Consider the following 21,095-nt stretch of genomic DNA (forward strand, 5'->3'; position numbering starts at 1 on the left):
GATTAGAAAGAAGAAGCATTAGTACGAGAAGAAGGAGGCTAGGGCTGGGGAGAAGAATTAAATTAGATTTACAGAATTAAATAAGGTCTTAAAAGAAACTTGAATTACTATATTGGTAAAACAGGAATATATTAGATAGTATTATTAGATCATAAAAAACAAGTTGCATTATACCACAGAGGGTAAAGACCGCAATAGGCAGCATTGCCTTTCTCAGAGAAGCAACTGAGTTTTCAGGTCTGGGGTCATATAGGGTTAGAATTATATCTTATATGCCTCATATCTCTTAAAAAAAAACTATACAATATTTTTAAAGACATAGTTTAGGAAAATACTGGCTAATCTATTTAAGTATATATATAGATATGCATATATATATATACTGTGATAGGAAACACTAAAGACTAACTGGAAACAAACATTGTTGATTGGATATCTTATACTACTTGCTATGCTACATTGGTGTGCCATAACTTGTGTACTATTTAATTTTTCTGCACAGTGTTCTTACGATAACAGTTCTGTGGAGGTGTGTGTGGGAGCCACTACAGAGATCTGGTGTCTACACTGACAGTTAGTAAAATGCATGCCATGCATTTTATTAATAATAATAATAATATTCTGGATATGGAAATTAGTGGGGTTGAAGTGCGCTTCAGAACTAAGCACTTACCAATAGATTCTGGAGATTTAAATACGGAGAGAAGAAAGACAGCATAAAAATATTATTATATTCCTTATAATTTGGTACAAATTTTTCAGAGTTAAAGCTTTATATACTAAATCATCTATGTTACATGTGAATAATTAATTCTTCATTTACAATAACAGAATGCTAATCTACACAATTCTGCTGACAACAAGCAAAAGAGGCAGTTAACAAGACGCTTTAACATCACAGGACAGGTCAAAAGCTGAGAATTCTGGGAAGACAGGCAGTTAAACAACTTAGAATTCTATACCAATATTACTACCAATGTCAAAGTAAACAGCTTATTATTATATATCCCTGTGAAATTACCTAGGGACAGGCTCTAAAACTTAAGAAATTTAGAATTATCTCTACTTTTAATCTAAGAGAGCAAAGGCATAAACTTGGGATGGGAATGGGAAAAGGAGAAAAGGGTAAAGAGAGAGAGAAAACAGCAAAAGCTGGAGTCTACACCAAAAGCAGACTTCTGTAGATCCAGTCACTGGAGGGTTCAAAAACCTTGACGGGCGCACACTACTGTGGCTAATGTGTAGAAAATGTTCACTCACAATGTTATTATCATAGTATTAATAAAAATCCCCTCCTTTTACTGGTATTTTCTAAAGACTTTTAAAAACATACATCTGGTTACTCATGAGATAACGTTTCTGTGTTTTTATGTATTAGTGAAAAGAAAGCAGATGTGCCCAGACTTACTAAACTTTGGTACTTTGATGAGTTCAAATGTAGAAAAGATAGCAGAAAACATACTTTAATAAAATTGAAACATTTTAGGGTTTAATATGAACATTTTATTTTTTAATGGATACAACCATTGGATCTCCTTGCAAGTTCTGAATGAAGTCCAATGTTGAAATAAATTTGTTTCAAAAGAAAACAGAGAAAGAAGAAAGAAAGAGGAGAAAATGGATCCATCAAATACTGCGAAAAAGCAGTAAATTAAAAAATTACCAAAAATACAGTCACAGCAGTGAGCAATGTGGATTAAACAGAAGCTGCAAAACACACAGAGAAAAGGAGAAAGACAGACTCTGAAACAGGCTATGACATCACAAACATGGACCACCCATTAAGTAACAGAGAAAGAGAAGAGGGAGAAAAATCAGTACCTAGAAATAAAAAATAAATTAAAATTAAAAATAAGGAGAGAGAAAAATTAAAAAAAAAAATTCTCTAGGAGTTAGTAGAAACAGTAACAAGACCCTACCTGATCGTAACTGCTTAATACGACCATTGTTGTTGCTTGTGTCCACAGGTAAGAAATCTTTAAACCAAGTGATTTCTGGATCCGGATTACCACTGGCTGCACAAAGCATGGTGGCCGTGCGAGTACGCTCAACCACCTTCAACTGTGGGCCCATGTCAATGGTAGGGAAGCCCCTGGGAATTTGATCTTCTGCAAGACAAAAGGTGATAGAAACATTCAGTTAATAAGTCAGATGCTCCAAATTCAAGAGATTCCCCAGAAATCTCTCTTTACCTTACTCAGTGCTTGTTGAGAACCTAACACAAACCAGGCACTAATAAATTAGAACACAGTCACAATGCTGCTACTGATCAGAAGAGTAAACACTCTATGTAAGAGGCCAACAGACTAACACAGAGCTCAGACGGGGCCGACTATGATGAGGGGATGCAGTGAGTTTTCCAAGAGCAAAGAGGGAGAAATAATTATAGGGTTTGTGCTTGAGATCAGTGAGTACCCAGAGGAAGCTCTGATTTAAAGTAGGCATTTAGGAAAGAACACAATCGGCCAAGTCACAAAAAGGGGAGAAGGAGATTTTAGAAAGATTCGGGAATGTCACAAGTGTAGGCATTGAGGTAGGAAAGGTTTTGCCGAGAGAGAAGCATGGAAGCCAACAGTGCCAGCTTGGAGAGTACTTGGGGAACAAGCAGAAGCTAGGTCACGCTATCTGTTTCAAAGCTGGTATGTTTTTCTTATAACTCTGTTTTCCCTCACAAGTATAAGGTTCAACCCAAATCGATTACTTTGTAAGAGCTTCAATTAACCAGAAAATTGTCTGAGGATGCTTTGAAAAAGAAGAGCAAAAGCAACTCCTTATTAATGGCACAAAAACACATGTTCCTTACAGGGATAAGAGAATGCTTTCCTCCATCCCAAAGATCTGCATCATTTTCAGTAATTAAAAAGTTGAAATTCCTAAATTTTGAATCTCCAACTCATGCAAAATTCACTTTTTGCTACCCACATCGAAACTGTTCCAGATCCCAGCTCTTGAGAAATTAAAATCACTTAAATCCCACAATCATGCTCCACACTGATAACTGACATTGCCAGCTCTTCTAGCCAGGATTAGAAAGGTGTGTTCTATCTAAGCATCGAAAGAATTTTAGTTAGATGGGTGGCAATTATCCAAATTAGAACATGGCCATTTGTTTGAAGATCATGAATTTTTGTTATTATACTTTAAGTTCTAGGGTACATATGCACAACGTGCAGGTTTGTTACATATGTACACATGTGCCATGTTGATTTGCTGTACCCATTAACTCGTGATCATGAAATATTTTTACTTCCAATTGAGTCTGGCATTGATTTAATCAATACCCCCTCACGGCCACTGATAAATTTTCATAAGCCACCAATTCTAAAATTACTCGAAAGCATAAACAGCAGCGAGCAGAACATTAGATATCATCAGATCTGGCATATCGCTTCTCCTTGGGTGCCTCCTACAAGCTCCAGTATAATCCATGAATTCACAGTTGATGGTGAATCATACTGAGGTTATGTTAGAATTTCTAATGAAGAAGCTCCATTTTGATGCCTCCACCGTGTTGCCAGTCAACAGCATGTGTTCTCCAACTCTCTCCCTCTAGAGCCGAGGGGTAAACTCAGTCTCCTAAACCTCACTAGCAAAGTCCTTTTCAATCAGGTCTCATTTTTCTCAGCCTCTTAGGGATCAACTCTCTCATAGGAAATTTTTCTTCTGCCCACATTGAAATTCTCACCACTTCCCAGACAAATCATGTTTGCTGGGTACTCCGTGCTTCTAGGAAGCCACGCAGCCAAAGTCACCTTCTTTGTAAATCTTTTCCAAATTCTCTCAAACATATTTCATTCTTTCCTCCTCAGAGCTACCATAGCAGCGGCTACTCAAATCCACTGTCTTGTACTTATTAACTCATGAGTTTATCCCTCCACACCAGGAGTTCTTCCATGTTTTATCTGTATTCTGCTCCCTTGCAATCATGCTAGCCTGGGTTTCCAGATTTTAAGAGAAACTCCACTGATTCCTAAGCCTAAGTATGAATATATATCAGTGACTGTTTAAAAAATATATATATCCTACTATGCAGAACTTCTGGTAGAGAGGCAACCAGTTAAATAGTTAGGGACCAGAGAGATTCTGAATGTGAATGGCGAAAGAATGTAAGATGCTACCAAAGATTAAAGCTCCCAAGAAAGAGAAATTTCACTGAACAGATGCAGTTATTGTAAGATAAAATTGATGGACTATTAAGGAAAAGCGTAGACTCTGGCTCTCCCGCTGGGCAGGATAGAAAGTTTCTATCTTTTACTAACACAGTCTGTGAAGGACCAAAAGAAGCTGAGGCAAGTTTGATTTGACACCTGATTCATGACATAATACCTTCCTATCAGACCAGGTAGTTAGGGCCGGGTACTAAACACACTTATAAAAATAATTAACTGCAATGAGCTGAACTTCACTTAAGTTGAAAGATGTGGCTCATTTGTGGAAGCAGTAATACATTGTTTTTGTGAATGTTTACACATCGTCAGCCAAGCAGAGGTCTACAGTAGACAAGTGTCAGAAACAGTAGTTAAAAATTGAATTTCAAGATGATTTTTCAAGGCTCCAAGAGAAAGTTAAAAATTAAAAGTGGGATGCAAATTAGGCTATGCTGGTTTTAATAATCTATTCCACATGAATTTCATCAGGCTGTTCTTTATGGCTTTAAAGGTTTTGCCAATATATTTACATCTACAACATAGTTCTGATGTTGCTGGGGGGAAAAAGGAGCAGAAAGATCAATAGCTGCTATACCACACACGTTATGTTATTAAATATCTCACTTGGCAGCTATTGACACAAAGTGCTTCAAAGGATAAAAGTAATTTACCTCAAGTGCTCCAACACCAACTATACCGCCTTCATAAAAATGAGTTTCTGAAAAAGCTCTTAGATTTTGTTGTTGTTATGTTCCATTTTTAAAGCAACCAACTTAGGTTAATCAAAAATCACCTTGCGATTCCTGAGTGGTTTCTGTATGTCCTAGGACACTGTATCTCTCCCATGGTGTTTAAGTACTAGTTACATTTGCCTGCATAAATACTGCTCTGCTAGTCATTACTTTTCTTCTACAAGTTCATCTCTCGGAAGAACTGAGCCAATATTCAGTGCTGATCAGTGGCAAGTGCCAAAGGCTTAAGATTGTTAAGCCACTTACTAAAGGCTCTTACCAAAGAAATCTAGATTTAATAACCGTTTATAAGAAATATAGTCCTCACCTTGGGGATAGCCGACAAAATTGACTTGTACCTTCCTGAAAAGCAGTCTAATACATTTTCATGACCTTTCTCTTCCTTCCTGGCTCATAAAGAACACTCCAGAGCCCCCTTTTCATATACACGAGTGCACAACAAAGATAATCTTTCTTGCATACTAATGGGACAGAAAATGTAAAGAGCGTTCCTTTCTTATTTTTAATAAGGGTAATTAAATTCTATCCATCCCCCTTTGCACAGAATCTCTTTGAATGCACTTTCTTCGTTAAATTTTCATGAGAAACATCACAATGTAACAGATTCAAATAGCCAGAGCTGTTACACGTTGACAGTTGTGGCTTGTTTCCAATTTGACTGTCAGGTATTTGGCAATAAAACTCAGTATTCAACATAAAACAAACTGTAGAAATAATGAAATTTCTAATTGGAATGCTTATCTCCGTGGGTGTAGTTTAGAAGACGTTAATTGCTTTTTTCTTCACCTTCCACATTTATTAGTGATTTATATAAAACTGCCTTGGCCATTTGATAACATCAATTTTGACGGCTCCTCAAATGTGTGGTACCAGGAACTTGGGAATCAAATCAATATCCTTAATAACTTAACCACACAAACTTTCACAGGAAAAAGCAGCTAGCAAAAATTAACAAATTGTCAATATGCTAGTAGCTTTAAACTTTTACATGAGGTGAAAAGAAAAACATTTTGTCCTATTCATTAATGTGCTCATTAAGCTTTAAAGTGCCTTACTTATCACTGTTCCATATTAATATTCAATCATGCAGAATTAGCTACTAATTCATCAACCATTTAAATCAGACTTGACCTTCACAAAGCCATTTGTTCTGTCATTTTGAGAGGCCATTAAAGGGCAGATTACTACATACTTGTGCTTAGTGAATCATAGAGTCATACATATTTTGTTTGGAATGGCAGCTATAATAGACCTGGAAATATAGCACCCTCTTTGAATCTGTTGGTATCTTAATGAAATATGCTGATACAAAACTTTCAGTTCCATTAAGGAAAGAGAAAAATGAATGTAAGCATCTTCCAGAGTTAACTTCCCATTGTGGTAGAACTTATTAACAACCCTGACCTACCCAGGACTTGAAAGGAATGAATCCATGAGGAAAATAGTCTGACACTGTTTTGTAGGTAGTCATGCCTTACATATCTGTGAATGATCAAGTAACAGGTTTTACATGATTTGTTCACTTAAACTGTTTTCACTGTTCATGCATAAACAATATTAACGATGCTCTTACTTTCACTCCACTTTCACAAACACTGAATCTCTTCTTTGTAAGGAAGCCAGGAAAATCTGAATTGCCTGCTAAGGCTACAGGCTCCTTCCAAGGTGGTCCTAAGTAGCTCTTCTTGCCTAATCTTGCTAGGGCTCTTGCTGCGTGAATTCAACCAGACTAGTCCTTTGACTCTGACCCCAACTGATTTAACGAAGTCTTCAATAAAGAACTGTTTGCCATGGTATTGGGAAAAATCCCAATTTTTAAGATTAATACAAATATGTTTATAAAGAAAAAGCGTGTCAATTACATCAATTACATCAATGCTTCTTCAAGTGCAGTATTTAAAAATTTGGCAAGTATACCTGAACACTTAGATATTATTGACAATACAGAGGTTTTGGCAGTAATGGCAGTACAATAAAACAAAAACACAATATGGATGAAGAGACAAGCAGCTGTTATCATGAAGCATTCATCCCCTGGAATTACTTTTCTAAGTTTCAAACAGTTCAGAGTGGCTCCTCTTTAAAAGTCCCCAAATAGTGTTATCAATAAACCGTAATAATAGTTAGTATGTAAGTGTGAACTCTTACAAGCTCACAGGAGGGCAGGAGCTATTTGTTACTTTCTTCGTAACCTTCCCAATGTTCAACAAATACTCACAATTAGACATTTTTATGATGCTTTGACAATTACTTTTTCAGCACTCACTCATGAGGTATCTCTCAATTCCTCCTGGAATGTCATTCATTGAAATACCATTCCTCAATGCCACTCACTGAAACAGTCATTCTTCAACTGTTTGTGACTACACATTTGGCCTCCTTGAGTATCAGTCTATTAAGAGGCAAAGCTATCTCATAGTCTCATTATTTTAGTGTCATAAGGAGTATTAGAATTAGAGACTTAAAAAATGGCTGTTTGTGACTTTATTTTCACAATCTTTAGTTTCGTCAGCAAGTGATTTTCCTTCCATTGAGAATATGCAATTTATGCTTTTAATTTATCACGGTTGCTATGTGAGAAGCACACAATTTAGTCCTTGCTTCCTTCATTTTACAGGAGGCTTTCCCTCATATATTGGTTTTCAGTTCCTACGTGTCAGAAGCATGACCACATGACAAAACCACATGTATAAACACAATGACACTGCAAAGAACACAATAGAACACGTATCTATATTCTACTGTTATTCTATCTATAGAATAACAATGGAATTCTTGGTGTTGAAACTAATGGCTAAAAAAGCCCAGGAGTGAACCACTCAGTTTTTTTGTTGAGGCAAACACTGTGGGTCTTCCTTCACTGACAGGAATACAGATTTCTAAGTCACTGGATATCTTACGGTTTGAGTCATTCATATACTCTCACAGAACAAGAGTGATTTCTTTTCTTTGACGGGTGGAAAGACTGAGTGAGAAAAGTTTTCATTAACATAAGAAAACAAGAAAAATGATAGACGAGTAATATGCAGCGTATTTTTAAAATGACATTCCTAGAGTATATATATATACACACACACACACACACTAGGACTGTCATTTTAATATATATAATACATATATGGACTTTTTCACGTGTCAGAGAATCAGTAGTGTTCTATGCAGCAGAAAGTCAGTGGATTTTTATACTTAAGAAAAAGTACGAACTTTCTCGGAAAATTTAAATACACATTGGTCTTAAGGTGGTCAAATAAGGTGGCCAAATAGATACTTTAAAACAAGATATTTATGAAAATTACACCATATATTGAAACAAGAAGATAATTTGAACTATTAGTTCTAAAAACCTACCGGATAGTCAACAGATGGCATCATTCATTCTACAAATATTTATTGAAGGCCTCCTTTGTGCTGGACTGGGCCAGGCACTGGGTATGAAGTAATCTAGATAATCTCTATATTGTTGTGATTTAATTGTATCTGCAGGATAATTAGCTTCTTTGAAAGTAATAATAGTACCAAGCACATACACAGGAAGATTGAATTAGATGATGCATTAAATGTGCCTAGTGCTGCCTGGCACTAGTGTCTGGCATCTAGTAAAATACTAGCATATATGTACTTGCTTTATTCCAAGCTCCATCAATAGATCTAAAGGGATCAGAGGCATGTGACTCTAAGGCTTGATCAAACAAGTAGTGCAGCAATAAACTGCAAATGAGAAATTATTCTATGCAAATCATAAAAAACAGGGGTTATCTAGACACGCAACTAAATTTAAAGCATAGTGTTTGTGCCAAGTAACCTCTGCAAAGCCAATAAATACCCTCTTTTCCCTTTGAACAAGATTTTAGGCTCTTTGATTAATCAACAGTACAAATAAATAAAATCCATATTGTCAGATGATTTGTTCCTAAAAATGAATTTTAAAAATAGCTCTAAATATTTGGGATGTCAAAGGTTGTTGTGAACAACTGAAAACACTGGAACCAACTGTTTTTCCCTATATCATGGCAGGCATTTTTCTTTTAGTTATTCAGGGAAGGGGCATTAAGTATTCCTCATCTTGGGGAGTAGGTCATGTTAAGAAGGCTATATGGCTTTCTTAAAGAAAATAGTTTTTAAAAAGATGATGCCAAGAAGTCAGAGTTTTGTTTTTTCATCTCAAAAGTTTCTTAACATTCTGAAAATAACTGTTTGGGGAAAATGATATAAATCAAGAAACACCTCTGTACAAAGTCTCCATAAACTAGTTCTAATAGCTCCATTAATTGTTCAGCTCTGGAGAGGGGAAATCTCTCGATGAGATTTGTCTAATATGATGCTCTTACTAAATCCCACCTTTAACAGAATGGAATTTAGTCAGAAGATCATATTAGACAAATTTAAAATTTTACCTAATGCAAAGCACTATAATGCCCAGTATCTCTAAAATACAAATATTTGAACCTTATTAGAGTTCCTTGAGGTAAATAAGGATGGTATCATTATCATTTTTTTGTGGCTATAAAACAAAAACTCAGTAATATTGTTATTTGTTTCATATCCTACATGTAGTAAAAAATTAAAGAAAGTCTTTCAGCTCTAGATTTGGTGTCTTTTTATTGTGTCATGTTTCCTCTATGCAAATTGCTATTCTTCAAATAAATCTTCATCATGTAGTGATGAAACTCTTAATCACAGTCAACTCATGAATGGGACAACAAAAGAGTTTGAATACTTGGTCATCCTTTACTTTTATTTTTTAAATGGCATGGACTAGATACGCAAGTTCCATGAGATGTAATAATACTTTAAAAATAGATCTACATTTTAAAAATCCACATATATATACATACATACACACACACATATACACACACATATATACGTATATAAATGTATATATGTGTGTGTGTATATACATATGTTATAGGCTTCTCATTCCCTCAGGATTGGTTCTAGAAGAGACAGAATTCTGCCATGTCTGTTAGCCAGTACAAGGTAGATGAGAAATGGAAGAGTGTGAAAAGGCTGATAAATGTCAAGTAATTTTCCTAGAGAGCTGAGATTTAGTACTGTGCCTATACCTTTAGCCCTTCTGTAATTTCTACTTAATTACCTAGGAAGGGCTGAGAATGGCGGGCCTTCTGCCATGAGCAGGCACCAAAAGTCAGTACAGAGACCAGAAAAGCAGATATAAGTAGACCTAACATATCTACCCTATGACTTTGGGCCACAAGGTCCCTCTTCGGTTTATGGGACTAATAATGACTACTCCAAAGCTTTATCTGGACAGGGAGACAGATCAGTGTCTCAGAGGCTGGAAGGCAGAGGATTATCATAGTGTATTTGCTACTTTGTCGAACAATGAGTTTTCAAGTCATTACATTTCAAAATGAATCACAGTATCAGGCTACAAACAAGGACCACCATTTTCTTTCCAGAATACAGTCCTTGAAGAAGAGGAAAAAACATTCTTTTCTTAAAGGAAACAGTGTAAATAAAGCTTTTATTTTCACCATTCCAGATGGCAGCAGGGTATAATTTGTACTGTGTTGACATCATGACCATTATTATTCAAAGTCAATTTTCCTGTAAGTGAATTGAATAAGGGACTGAAAACAGAAAAATAAAGAGCAAAGAAATAAAAGCTAAATCACCGTTTTCTAGCAAAGTTGGGCTCTTGGGCCATTATCGAAATGTTACGCATATGAATAAAATTGAAAAAATCATATAGTTTCTAATTACAAATCAAATGCTAGTCCAGTCAGCAAGAAACTATATAAAGCAGAAAAAAAAACTGACAGTTAATACATGACATTCCAAATGGAACATACGATAAATATAAGATCTGTTCCCAAAAAAGTAATTATGAACAAGATACAAAAATTTTTTTCCCAAGGTCCTCTTTGCAAGTTATTACATACAGATAGTATGCTTGTCTTAATATGGCTATAAATCAATCAGCTAAGCTTTTATTTCAGAGTAGATTTAGGTATCTCTTAAAGGCAGTCACTGGATACAAGAGTCTCGAAAGATTTCTCATAGAATTATGCCATGCAGGAATAGAAAATTGGACATTGTTAAGCTAAGAGCCTCATTAGCAGCTACTAAATATTCAGCATACCAACCAGCTACCCACAGAGCATTCCAGAGCAAAGCTCCATTTTATGAAATATTCCTCACATTTTGAGGAGTTTGCAAGGTACTCCGGGCAGAGAATAAAACAAACTGTTTAGAAGCAATGCATGCAATCATCCTACAAATTACAAAGTAATGTCTACATAGCAGAACATAAACCCCAGTTAGATTTAATTATCATTTGTCTAAATGTGGTAGCTCCAAGTTTACATTGCATTAAGTTAAGGCATACTGTTATTAGTGCTCGGCCTGAGCAAATGATTACCCTTTTTGTGATTCATAATCAAATAAACGCATTGAGAAAAAAAAGAAGTACCTTCTCCTCCTACCTAGTAACACTATTAATACCTGAACGTTTAACTAAATACTTAGGCATCAGGGAAACACATTTATTCCCTTCTTTGGGATTCATTTAGATAAAATCCAATATCCATCCACTTTCACAAATCTCATTATTCCCTATCAATTTATATTTATCAACAAGCAGGTGTCATTATACTCACCCTTTACATCCATCCAAATGTTTACCTTACTTTGAATATTCAAATAATTAACCACTTTACCGAAATGTATATTTAAATCATAAAATGAATTTTATTATTTTTAGAAAATAATTTTTTATTCTTGTTTTTTAGAAAAAGAGGCACAAAGACAAAAATAGTAAACAAGGAAAGAGACTTGGATTTGGATCCTGCATCCATTATTTGTTAGCTTTGTAAAAAGTTACAAACCAACAAGCTCAATCAAATGGGACTACAGAAAACATTCAATGTGGTTTCTTCACCATATTTTGGTAAATATAAGTATATATGAATAAATTTTCTAAGCCATCAAATGTTATAAAAAAAAGAAAATCAGAATCAATTGTGTAGTGTTGGATTGGAACTAATAGTGTTGGTGTGAACACCTAGTTTTAAATATATATGTACACACATATATATATACATTTGTATACATATACTATACATATTTTAAATATATATGTATACATATATATATGACTTGTAAATGAGTATGCATGCACAAACATACATTCTTTATATAAACTTAGCAAAGACATCTTCCCTAGCTGAACCAAGAGAGGCTGGGAGCAGTAATACCCAGTAGCAATGGTCACACCTTGTATTCAGATCTTGGTTTCTAAATACCATTCTCCAGTTGAAAGGAAACACTTTCCTTTCAGAAAGCTTCCCTTCAGAAAACTCCTTAGAGAAATCACTGATTCCAATTAGGACTGGAACAAGCAAAGAATGAGACTGGAACAAGCAAGGAATGAGAACAAGCAAAGAAGACACAACTTATCCTGTTGTATAAGAAAATACTCAAAGAATGAAAGGTATATACTAAATGTACACAGAAGCCAGCTTAAAGGGGCTCTTATTGACCAAATATTGGACAACTTGAACACGAAAATTAAAAAAGACAGTATTAACAAGTTATAACACACTGAATAAAATAAAGACATGCATCCATACTGATATAAATAACTGAGTAAATTAAAAGTTTCAGGAGAAATAGTATCTTTACATAGTATCAAAGGGACTCCCTACATAAATTTATTAAATATAAAGAAAGCAGTCTGTGAGAGATTAAATGATAGGGAAAGTCTTAAGCATCTCCTAGATTTGCAGTATGCAATTAGAAACCAAAAATGATGCTCCTTATGCTGCTGCTGATGCCAATGATATTAATTTAGAAAATAATGCTCCCATTTACATGATTTTGCTGTATTCTAAGCACGGTAGTAGTCCTAAAAATACCATTAAAGACAAATAATTTTGAAGTTTTAAATTTTAAAAATTTTAACTATTTTTAAAATAATAATAAAATATGTAAAGAAAAATTAGTAACTTTACATTGGAGAAGGCTTACAGAAACAACCTTGATTAAAAAATCAAAGTTAATAACACCAGTAAAGGGATAATTCAAATTCTTGTGCTGAGAAAAATATAACATCACTTCCACAATATTCCTGGAAAAGAGTCACAACCTAAATATGACCACCAGTAAACATCAGCAAAACCCCAAACAAGAACATTTTGTTAAATAACAGGCTCGTTATCTTCAAAACTATCATGGTCAGAAATGTCAAAGAAAGACTGAGGAACTCTTCCAGGTTGACAAGTACAAAATACAATTCTGAACTGGAGCCTCTGTGGAAAATTATAAAAACTTGAATGGCGATAACTGGTGAAACACAAGTAAGAACAACTGGAAAAATGTGATCAAAAGTGAATGCGGATCTAAGAATTAGATGGTTATGATGCATCAGTGTTTACTTCCTGATTTCGATAGTCCCATTGTAGTTAGGTAGGAGAATGCCTTGTTTGTATAAATCTGAGTATTTGGGAATGACAGGCAAGGCATCATGTCGGCAATTAACTCTCTAACAGTTCAGGAATAATAAGTTCTTTGTACTGTAGTTTCTACTTTTCTATAAGATTGGGATCATTTCAAAATTTTAAATTATATAGAAGTAAACTGTTATAATTAATTCATATTATCAGAAATATATAGACTTATTCCCAAAGCATCTGGGTAGCTAGATATACTCAAGCATTGCTTTCCCAATTGTGACAAACATTCTTAAATATATACTTTATTTGAGGCCCTCTTGAATACCATGACTATTTAAATGACACTCCAACTGTTATTACCAATTTCACACAAATGATGACAATATCTGAAAAAAGTTAACTCTAAAAATACATGAATTCCTATAAAATTAAGGCATAAGTATTTAATTACAAACAATGAACAAAATTGAGTGATAACTCAAGAGCAAGGTGCAAGCTCATGAAAAGAAAATGTGAGAAATCAATATTCTAATAACATAATGCACGTTTATTATTTTTATTTAGAGAAATGATAAAGTCTGATAAAAATTTAAGATAGAAGACAAACTTTTTGAGGATCTTCCTTCCAATTAAAACATAATTAACTTAGAATAGCTTCAGAAATCCAAATGTTATTTTTTTAAGCCAAACTTTCAAAAATTTTAGAAACAATCCACCTTCCCCTCAGCTCATCACAGTTCTCTCTTCCTGAAACAAGAACACATTACAGAAAATGGTTGTTACCCTCTAGTCTTTAATAATGTAAGGCAATGGGAGCAAGAGGAACAAAATAAAGTGACTCAGATATGTCTAAATAATTTTTCTAAAAAGAGCATTTCACTATTTTACCACATTCAGTAACAGTTTTTATAGTTTTAAAGGCAAACTGTGGTAGGTATTTGTTTTATCTGACAGGAGAAAATTGATTCTGAAAACAGAGGTAATGGCAGTTTTCTTTAGAGGGTGTCTTGAAAGATGAAAAGATCAAAATCTTAAAACATCAAACATCACATATAAAATGTTTCACTGAAAAAATGAAAACTACAGGAGTACATGAATAAGCAGTTAAAGATAACTTATATGTCTCAGAATGTATTACAGATCTATGGGGAAACATTTCCCATAAATGCAAATAGTTTTCTATTTATATGGCAAAATTCAGCCTGAATTTAACACCAGAGAATAACCAAATGGAACTAGGTTTTTTGTTTTGCTTTTTATAGATAGGGTCTTGCTCTGTCACCCAGGCTGGACTGCAATGGTGCAATCATAGTTCACTGCAGCATCAACCTCCCAGGCTGAAGGGATCCTTCCACCTCAGCCTCCAGGGTAGCTGGGACTACAGGCATGTGTCACAATACCTGGCTCAATTATTTTTATTTTTCATAGAGATGGGTCTCACTAAGTTGCCCAGGCTAGTCTGAAACTCCTGAGTTCAAGTGACACTCCTGCCTCCACTCTGGAGCAGCTAGGACCACAAGCACATACCACCATACCCGTCTTTTCTTTTATTCTTTTTGTGGAGATGGGTTTTTGCTATGTTCCCAGGGCTGCTCTCAAACTCCTCCTGGGTTCAAGTAATCCTTCCACCCTGGCCTTCCAGTGCTGGGATTACCAGCATGCGTCACTGCGCCCAGCCTTTGTGTTTGTTTGTGTTTGTGTGTGTGTATGTCAATGTATGTTTTTCTTCAAAATCTTTGAAATCACAGGACTATCAATTTATGAAACTGCCCAAAGAAGTTTACAACTATGATTTATTTCTTTTCGAAATGTTTGAACTTTCCTCTCTATCAAAAGAATATCATATATAAAAGCAAACACAGGATAGAAATTTATTCACTATGCTTTCAAATATCAAAAATATTAAGAAGCTATTCAACAGGAGTTCAGACATCTGGAAAATAACCCAATCAAAGTAAAACTGCCAAACAATGGCCAAAACCACTACCAAAAGTTACATGAATGAAATCCCTTATCTTTTGCAACTAGATGGAAGAGTTGTCAAGCATCCACATAAATTCTAAAACCTTGACCTTCTTCTTCAATAGATTAAACACAGCAAATTAGAAAAAGGGTTTCAGGCAAAACCTGAGGGCATACATAAAGGATTGCGATCTTTTTCCAAAAGCAAATGAAAGGAAAGAAGGGTTTTGAAGGTAAATACAAGTGTGTGGGCACTTCGGTGCTTGCGGGCATGTGTACTGGGAGTGTATGTCGCTTATCACAAAATTGGCATTAAAAAATGGCTTTTTAACTGCATTATGAAAAATGCATTGGGGAAAAGCAAAAAATAAGAATAAAGTGATGTAGGCATGTTATTTAGGATAGTACCGAGATAGCCCTGTGGCAAGATAAACTTACATTAGGAAGATGTAAGGAGATAGGGAGAAGTGGAAAAAGTTCAGAATAATTTGAATGTCAATTTTACAAGGGTTGGTAATATTTTGAAGATGAGGAATGAAGGAGAATTATCAGGGATGGCTTTCTGAAATGTTATGATTGTTTGCATATGTTTTCAGTCATGTCTTCCCTTGGGAAGCAATGTCATGTATTTGAGGCACTCATGAAACAGTATGCCTCTATGAAGGACTCTCACCAATAGAGCTGCCCCTGGATGGAGCACAGCACTAAGTACAAAGCAAGTGTCTGTCAGTTGAACACTGATCCAGCTTTTCCTTCAGGAATTGGCAAAAGGGGCTCGTAGAGCAAGCCGTTTGCCTCCTTATCTGCTTTGTCTCAGGATGAAGGCAAGAAATGTCTGCTTCAGCCTACACACGTGAGCTCAGCATCCTCACTACAGACGCACCAGAAGTTCCCTGGGAGCCAGTCTAGAATGGGTTGTAAATACCCATGGATTTGCATCAGTTTTCTCCACTAATAGCTCAATTCCTGCAATTTGAAGACAGTTGAGCATGCAAGGGTAGTTTCTCCCTAGCCAGAAAAGGAATTCACAAAATATTAGAGTATGACAGCCAATGGTCTCCTGAATAAGAGGAAGAATAATTTGAGTTGTGTTCCTATGAAGACATGAAATTAAGAATCTCCTTATAGATAACTCACGGCTGTCACATTTTAATATACAACATGCCAATTAAATAGATATAAGTTTCCAATGATAAGATGATACTCAGAAGCGATGTAATAAAACCTTTTTCTTACATATTGAAAACAACCCAGAGCTGCTCATTTTCGTTTAGTTGTAATAGACTGACACATTGTTATAAATTTGGGAAACATACAATCTCTAATTCTTAACAAAGTGACAGCAAATTGACAACAAAAAAAGTTTTCTCAGCCTTGAATTCACTGGCATAGCAACATGACATAATCCACCAATCCCCCAACAGCCACGAGTGGATGGTTTTGATGTTTACCACAAGATTAATGCCCCTTCAATTGCTCAGTGATGATGGCTATGAGGCTGCTGAATAAATAATGTATGTGCATTCACTAAAGGAAGGAAGAATGTGTATTTCAGCCACTGATCCCTAATATAACCAATGCTATTTAAGTGTTTGTTGTTAATAAAGATAAAATACTATGCAATACAGCTTTGTATATTATACACGACAGGTTTTGTGAGCAAATTATAGTTACATGGGCACATGTTGTCATTTTTCCGGAATTAACTCAGAAGATAAAATATAATCAAGAATGTTTCCCCAGTGGGAAAAAGACATTTTCTTTTCCTTTTTTTCTTTTTGAGACAGAGTCTTGCTCTGTTGTCCAGGCTGGAGTGCAATGGCATGGTCTAGGCTCACTGCAACCTCTGCCTCCTGGGTTCAAGTGATTCTTCTGCCTCAGCCTCCCGAGTAGCTGGACTACAGCTGCGTGCCACAACACCCGGCTAATTTTTCTATTTTTAGTAGAGACGGGGTTTCACCATATTGGCCAGGCTGGTCTCAAACCCCTGACTTCATGACCTGCCCACCTCAGCCTCCCAAAATGTTGAGGTTACAGGCATGAGCCACCATGCCTGGCCAAAACATTTTAAATTTAGTTTTATTTTCATGGATATCATAGCCCACCATAGTACTGGTTTTTGGGGGTTGAAGGTTCATAGACTTCCATTTGCTGGGAACCTATTGGGTATATCACATGCATTAGGCTGGTGCAAAAGTAAGGTTTTGCCATTACTTTTTTTTTTTTTTTTTTTTTGAGACAGAGTCCTGCTTTTTGCCCAGTCTGGAGGGCAGTGGTGCCATCTTGGCTCACTGCAACTTCCACCTCCCAGGTTCAAGCAATTTGCCTGCCTCAGCCTCCCGAGTGATCTCGAACTCCCAACCCTCAGTAATCCGCCTGTATCGGCCTCCCAAAGTGCTGGGATTACAGGCATGAGCCAACGCACCCGGTCGCCATTACTTTTCAATGGTAAAACAGCAGTTGCTTTTGCCATTGATATGAGCAGGAATTACCTTGCAGGAAAATAAAAAAAATAACTTTTTTTTTTTTTTTTTTTTTGAGACAGAGTCTCATCTGTTGTCCAGGCTGAAGTGCAGGGACGTGATCTCGGTTCACTGCAACCTCCACCTCCTGGGTTCCAGTGATCCTCTTGCCTCAGCCTCCCGAATAGCTGGGATTACAGGCGCCAGCCACTGTGCCCAGCTAATTTTTGTATTTTTAGTAGAGACAGGGTTTCACCATGCTGGACAGGCTGATCTGGAACTCCCGAACCTTCAGTGACCCACCATTGTCGGCCTCCCAAAGTGCTGGGATTACAGGCATGAGCCACCATGCCTGGTCGCCATTACTTTCAATGGTAAAACAGCGGTTGCTTTTGTACCAACTTATACATAAGTTGCATGATTTCTCACAGACTTAATCCTTTGACAATAACAGCTGGGTCATACTAAAGACAGTCCTTTTTTTTTTTTTTTTTTTTTTAATTGTCAGGAGGCACTTTTGTATCAAAGTGCCTTCTTCAAAGCTTAATTCACTTTCCTAAAACATGATGACCAGGGTTTCAGAACAAAACTTTCTGGGATATTCACTTTCCTGGTGCTTCTTAATATGACAGAGACTTAAACATATTCTAGCACACACAATCGTAGTTTTTAAATGTTTATCTTGGTTGTGAGGAAAAAATGCAGCTAGTGGTAGATTTAACAAACAGCACATTGCTCCACTCTCACCTCTCTTTTACTCTCCAGAAATAATTTTTGTTGATTTTCAAATTCATTTCCCAACATCATGGATATTATTCGTTTTCATACTTATATTTTGTCCTTGACAAAGATAATATTGTTTGTTCAGACATACAGGGACCCATTTCTGATAATTCAGTTTTTCGTGATTCCAAATGGAACCTGTAACAGAGTTAATCGGGGGTACCTGGACTCCAGGATCCCTAAGTTCATGAGACAAGCTGTTTTCTGGATTATTCTTCTAAAAAGCAGATCAAATGGAAAACTTCTCAACAAAATTATTTATGAATTGCAGGACATGAGGTAGTTCCGAGGAAAACCATGTATCTTGATAAAACGTATAACATTTCCTAGAACAGAGTCAACTATCACTGATTTCATCACAGTGATTTTCAGAAGGCAAGGACTATACAGATCAACTGTTTTACAGTCAAAGTCATGCTCTTTGGTAAATATTCTGAAGTGTTTGACTATTTTCAATAACTGAGTCTACAGAGACATTACCTCATTCAGTTTATTAAAGTACATTATTTCTACTGATTGATCACCATTGAAAGTTCAAATGGTGTTTAAAAGGGCCTTTTAGCTTTAAGTTGAATGAATGACATGGATACTTGTTTATAATTTCATAATAGTTTTTCAAGTTTGAATTATTATAGACATACTTTATGGTATAAATTGGTCATTCCTTAATTTCCCATTAAGCCTGTTCAAGAAGAAATCCAACAAACTTTATACAAACTCTAGCTAAACGTAGAAGTGCTCACTTTGTCCACCTCAATTTATCAGGTGGCTAGCCTATCCAAGCACATAATATCACCAACCTCTTTAGTTTTCATAAGAAGATGTACCTATTTAGCCTTAACACAGATCAGTGGTAACATCTGAGATGCTTCACTTAACCGACCACATAGTGTTGCTTTCATCTGTACTTATCAGGGATCTCAATCTTAAAATGACAGTCAAAACAACTTGGCCAGAGGAGTAATATTTATGGAGAATTAGCTGAAGTTATGCAATTTCATCCACTCCTCCATATAATATAAAAACTGATTTTGGTTAGCTAAAGGATGAGAGAGCTAGAAACCAGGACTGTTTTCTCTCATCTGCTGGAGAACAGATTAAACTGACATGTGTTTTGTTATAATTCGACAGATTAACCTGAGGGACTTTAGCAAGCAACTGCCCTATAATGTTGTGAAATTAAACATGCATATGATGCAGAGAATAGCATTTACTATTTGACTATATCCTCGTTCTCAAGAACTATGGGAGAGAACTTTTCCCCTGGTTTCAGGGGAATATTATGGTTTTTCTTTCTTTTTTCTTTTTCTTTTTTTTTTGTGAGACAGAGTCTCACTCTGTAGTCCAGGCTGGAGTGCAGTGGCATAATCCTGGTTCACTGCAACCTCTGCCTCCCAGTTTCAAGAGATTCTCCTGCCTTGGTCTCCCCAGTAGATGGGATTACAGGCGTGCGCCACCATGCCTCGCTACTTTTTTGTATTTTTAGTAGAGATGGGGTTTCACCACGTTGGCCAGGCTGGTCTTGAACTCCTGACCTCAAGTGATCTGCCTGCCTGGAGCCTCCCAAAGTCCTGGGATTCCAGGCGTGAGCCACCGCACCTGGCCATACTATCATTTTTCTAAAGAACTGATTTGTTATTTATGTTATGGACATGATGCATCTGTGTCACAGTTTCCCTCTTTCTCACGTCTAGAGATGTTAGTAGATTTGGAGCTAAAATTGTGGTTTATTTAGCAAAGGCACAGAAGTCCATGGCATGGACCGTATGCACGTTCCAACTATACTCCTAACATTAACCTGTCTTACTACAAAATTTTCCTGCTCCACTGTCATACCATTTTATCTTGCTATGTGAAACATTCCTCCATAAACTCTTCTATCTCTTTGAAATAAAGTTATCATAGACACAGGCATAAATATTGTAGATACAACCTTTTAAAAATATATAATGTACAAAAGTGATGATCTGAAAGATGTCAGTACATGTCCAAATGAATCCACATTTCCCATAACAGTCTGAGAAATGTTAAAGTCACCCAAAGTTATGCTAAACCAAAAACAATAAACTTATTAAAGTGAGCTTACCAGAAAGGATATAAAAAACTTAATTTAGTAAACACTAACTTAAAGGAAAAAATAAAGGAAGAAAGAAATAAAGATAGGGTTAAATAGGCATAGTGGGCCAGGCATGGTCCCAGCACTTTGGGAGGCCAAGGTGGGCAGATTGCCTGATCTCAGGAGTTTGAGACCAGCCTGGGTAACATGGTGAAAACCAGTCTGTACAAAATATACAAAAATTAGCCTGGTGTGGTGGCATGTGCCTGTAGTACCAGCTACTCTCGGGGCTGAGGCAAGAAAATTGCTTGGGCCCAGGAGGTTGAGGCTACAGTGAGCCGTGTTCACACCACCGCACTCCAGCCTGCGTGATGAGGTGGAATCCTATTTAAAAAAAAAAAAAAAAAAAAGAGAGTGACTATTATTTCTATTTTAGAAAAGTCACAGGCATTGGATTTAATTCCAATATCAGCCCATGATAAAAATGATAAATATCACAAAGATATATACCCACA

General features: G+C 36.0%; 1 protein-coding gene across 55 annotated transcripts in view; it reads right to left on the reverse strand.

The window, feature by feature from the left end:
- Positions 1-21,095, reverse strand: part of PTPRD (protein tyrosine phosphatase receptor type D) — a 2,298,757-nt gene that overhangs the window by 212,426 nt on the left and 2,065,236 nt on the right. For 37 of the 55 annotated variants that reach the window (NM_002839.4, XM_017014961.3, XM_017014969.3 and 34 more), the window contains 2 exons: positions 1,920-2,108; positions 674-682 (listed from right to left, as the gene is read on the reverse strand). In NM_002839.4, coding sequence (NP_002830.1) covers positions 674-682; positions 1,920-2,108 — 198 coding nt within the window. The remainder of the gene's footprint in view (positions 1-673; positions 683-1,919; positions 2,109-21,095) is intronic. The other 18 variants (XM_006716827.5, XM_047423649.1, XM_047423651.1 and 15 more) reach the window with 1 other exon arrangement.

Source organism: Homo sapiens, chromosome 9 (genome assembly GCF_000001405.40).
Source record: "Homo sapiens chromosome 9, GRCh38.p14 Primary Assembly".
NCBI classification, from domain to species: Eukaryota; Metazoa; Chordata; class Mammalia; order Primates; family Hominidae; genus Homo; species Homo sapiens.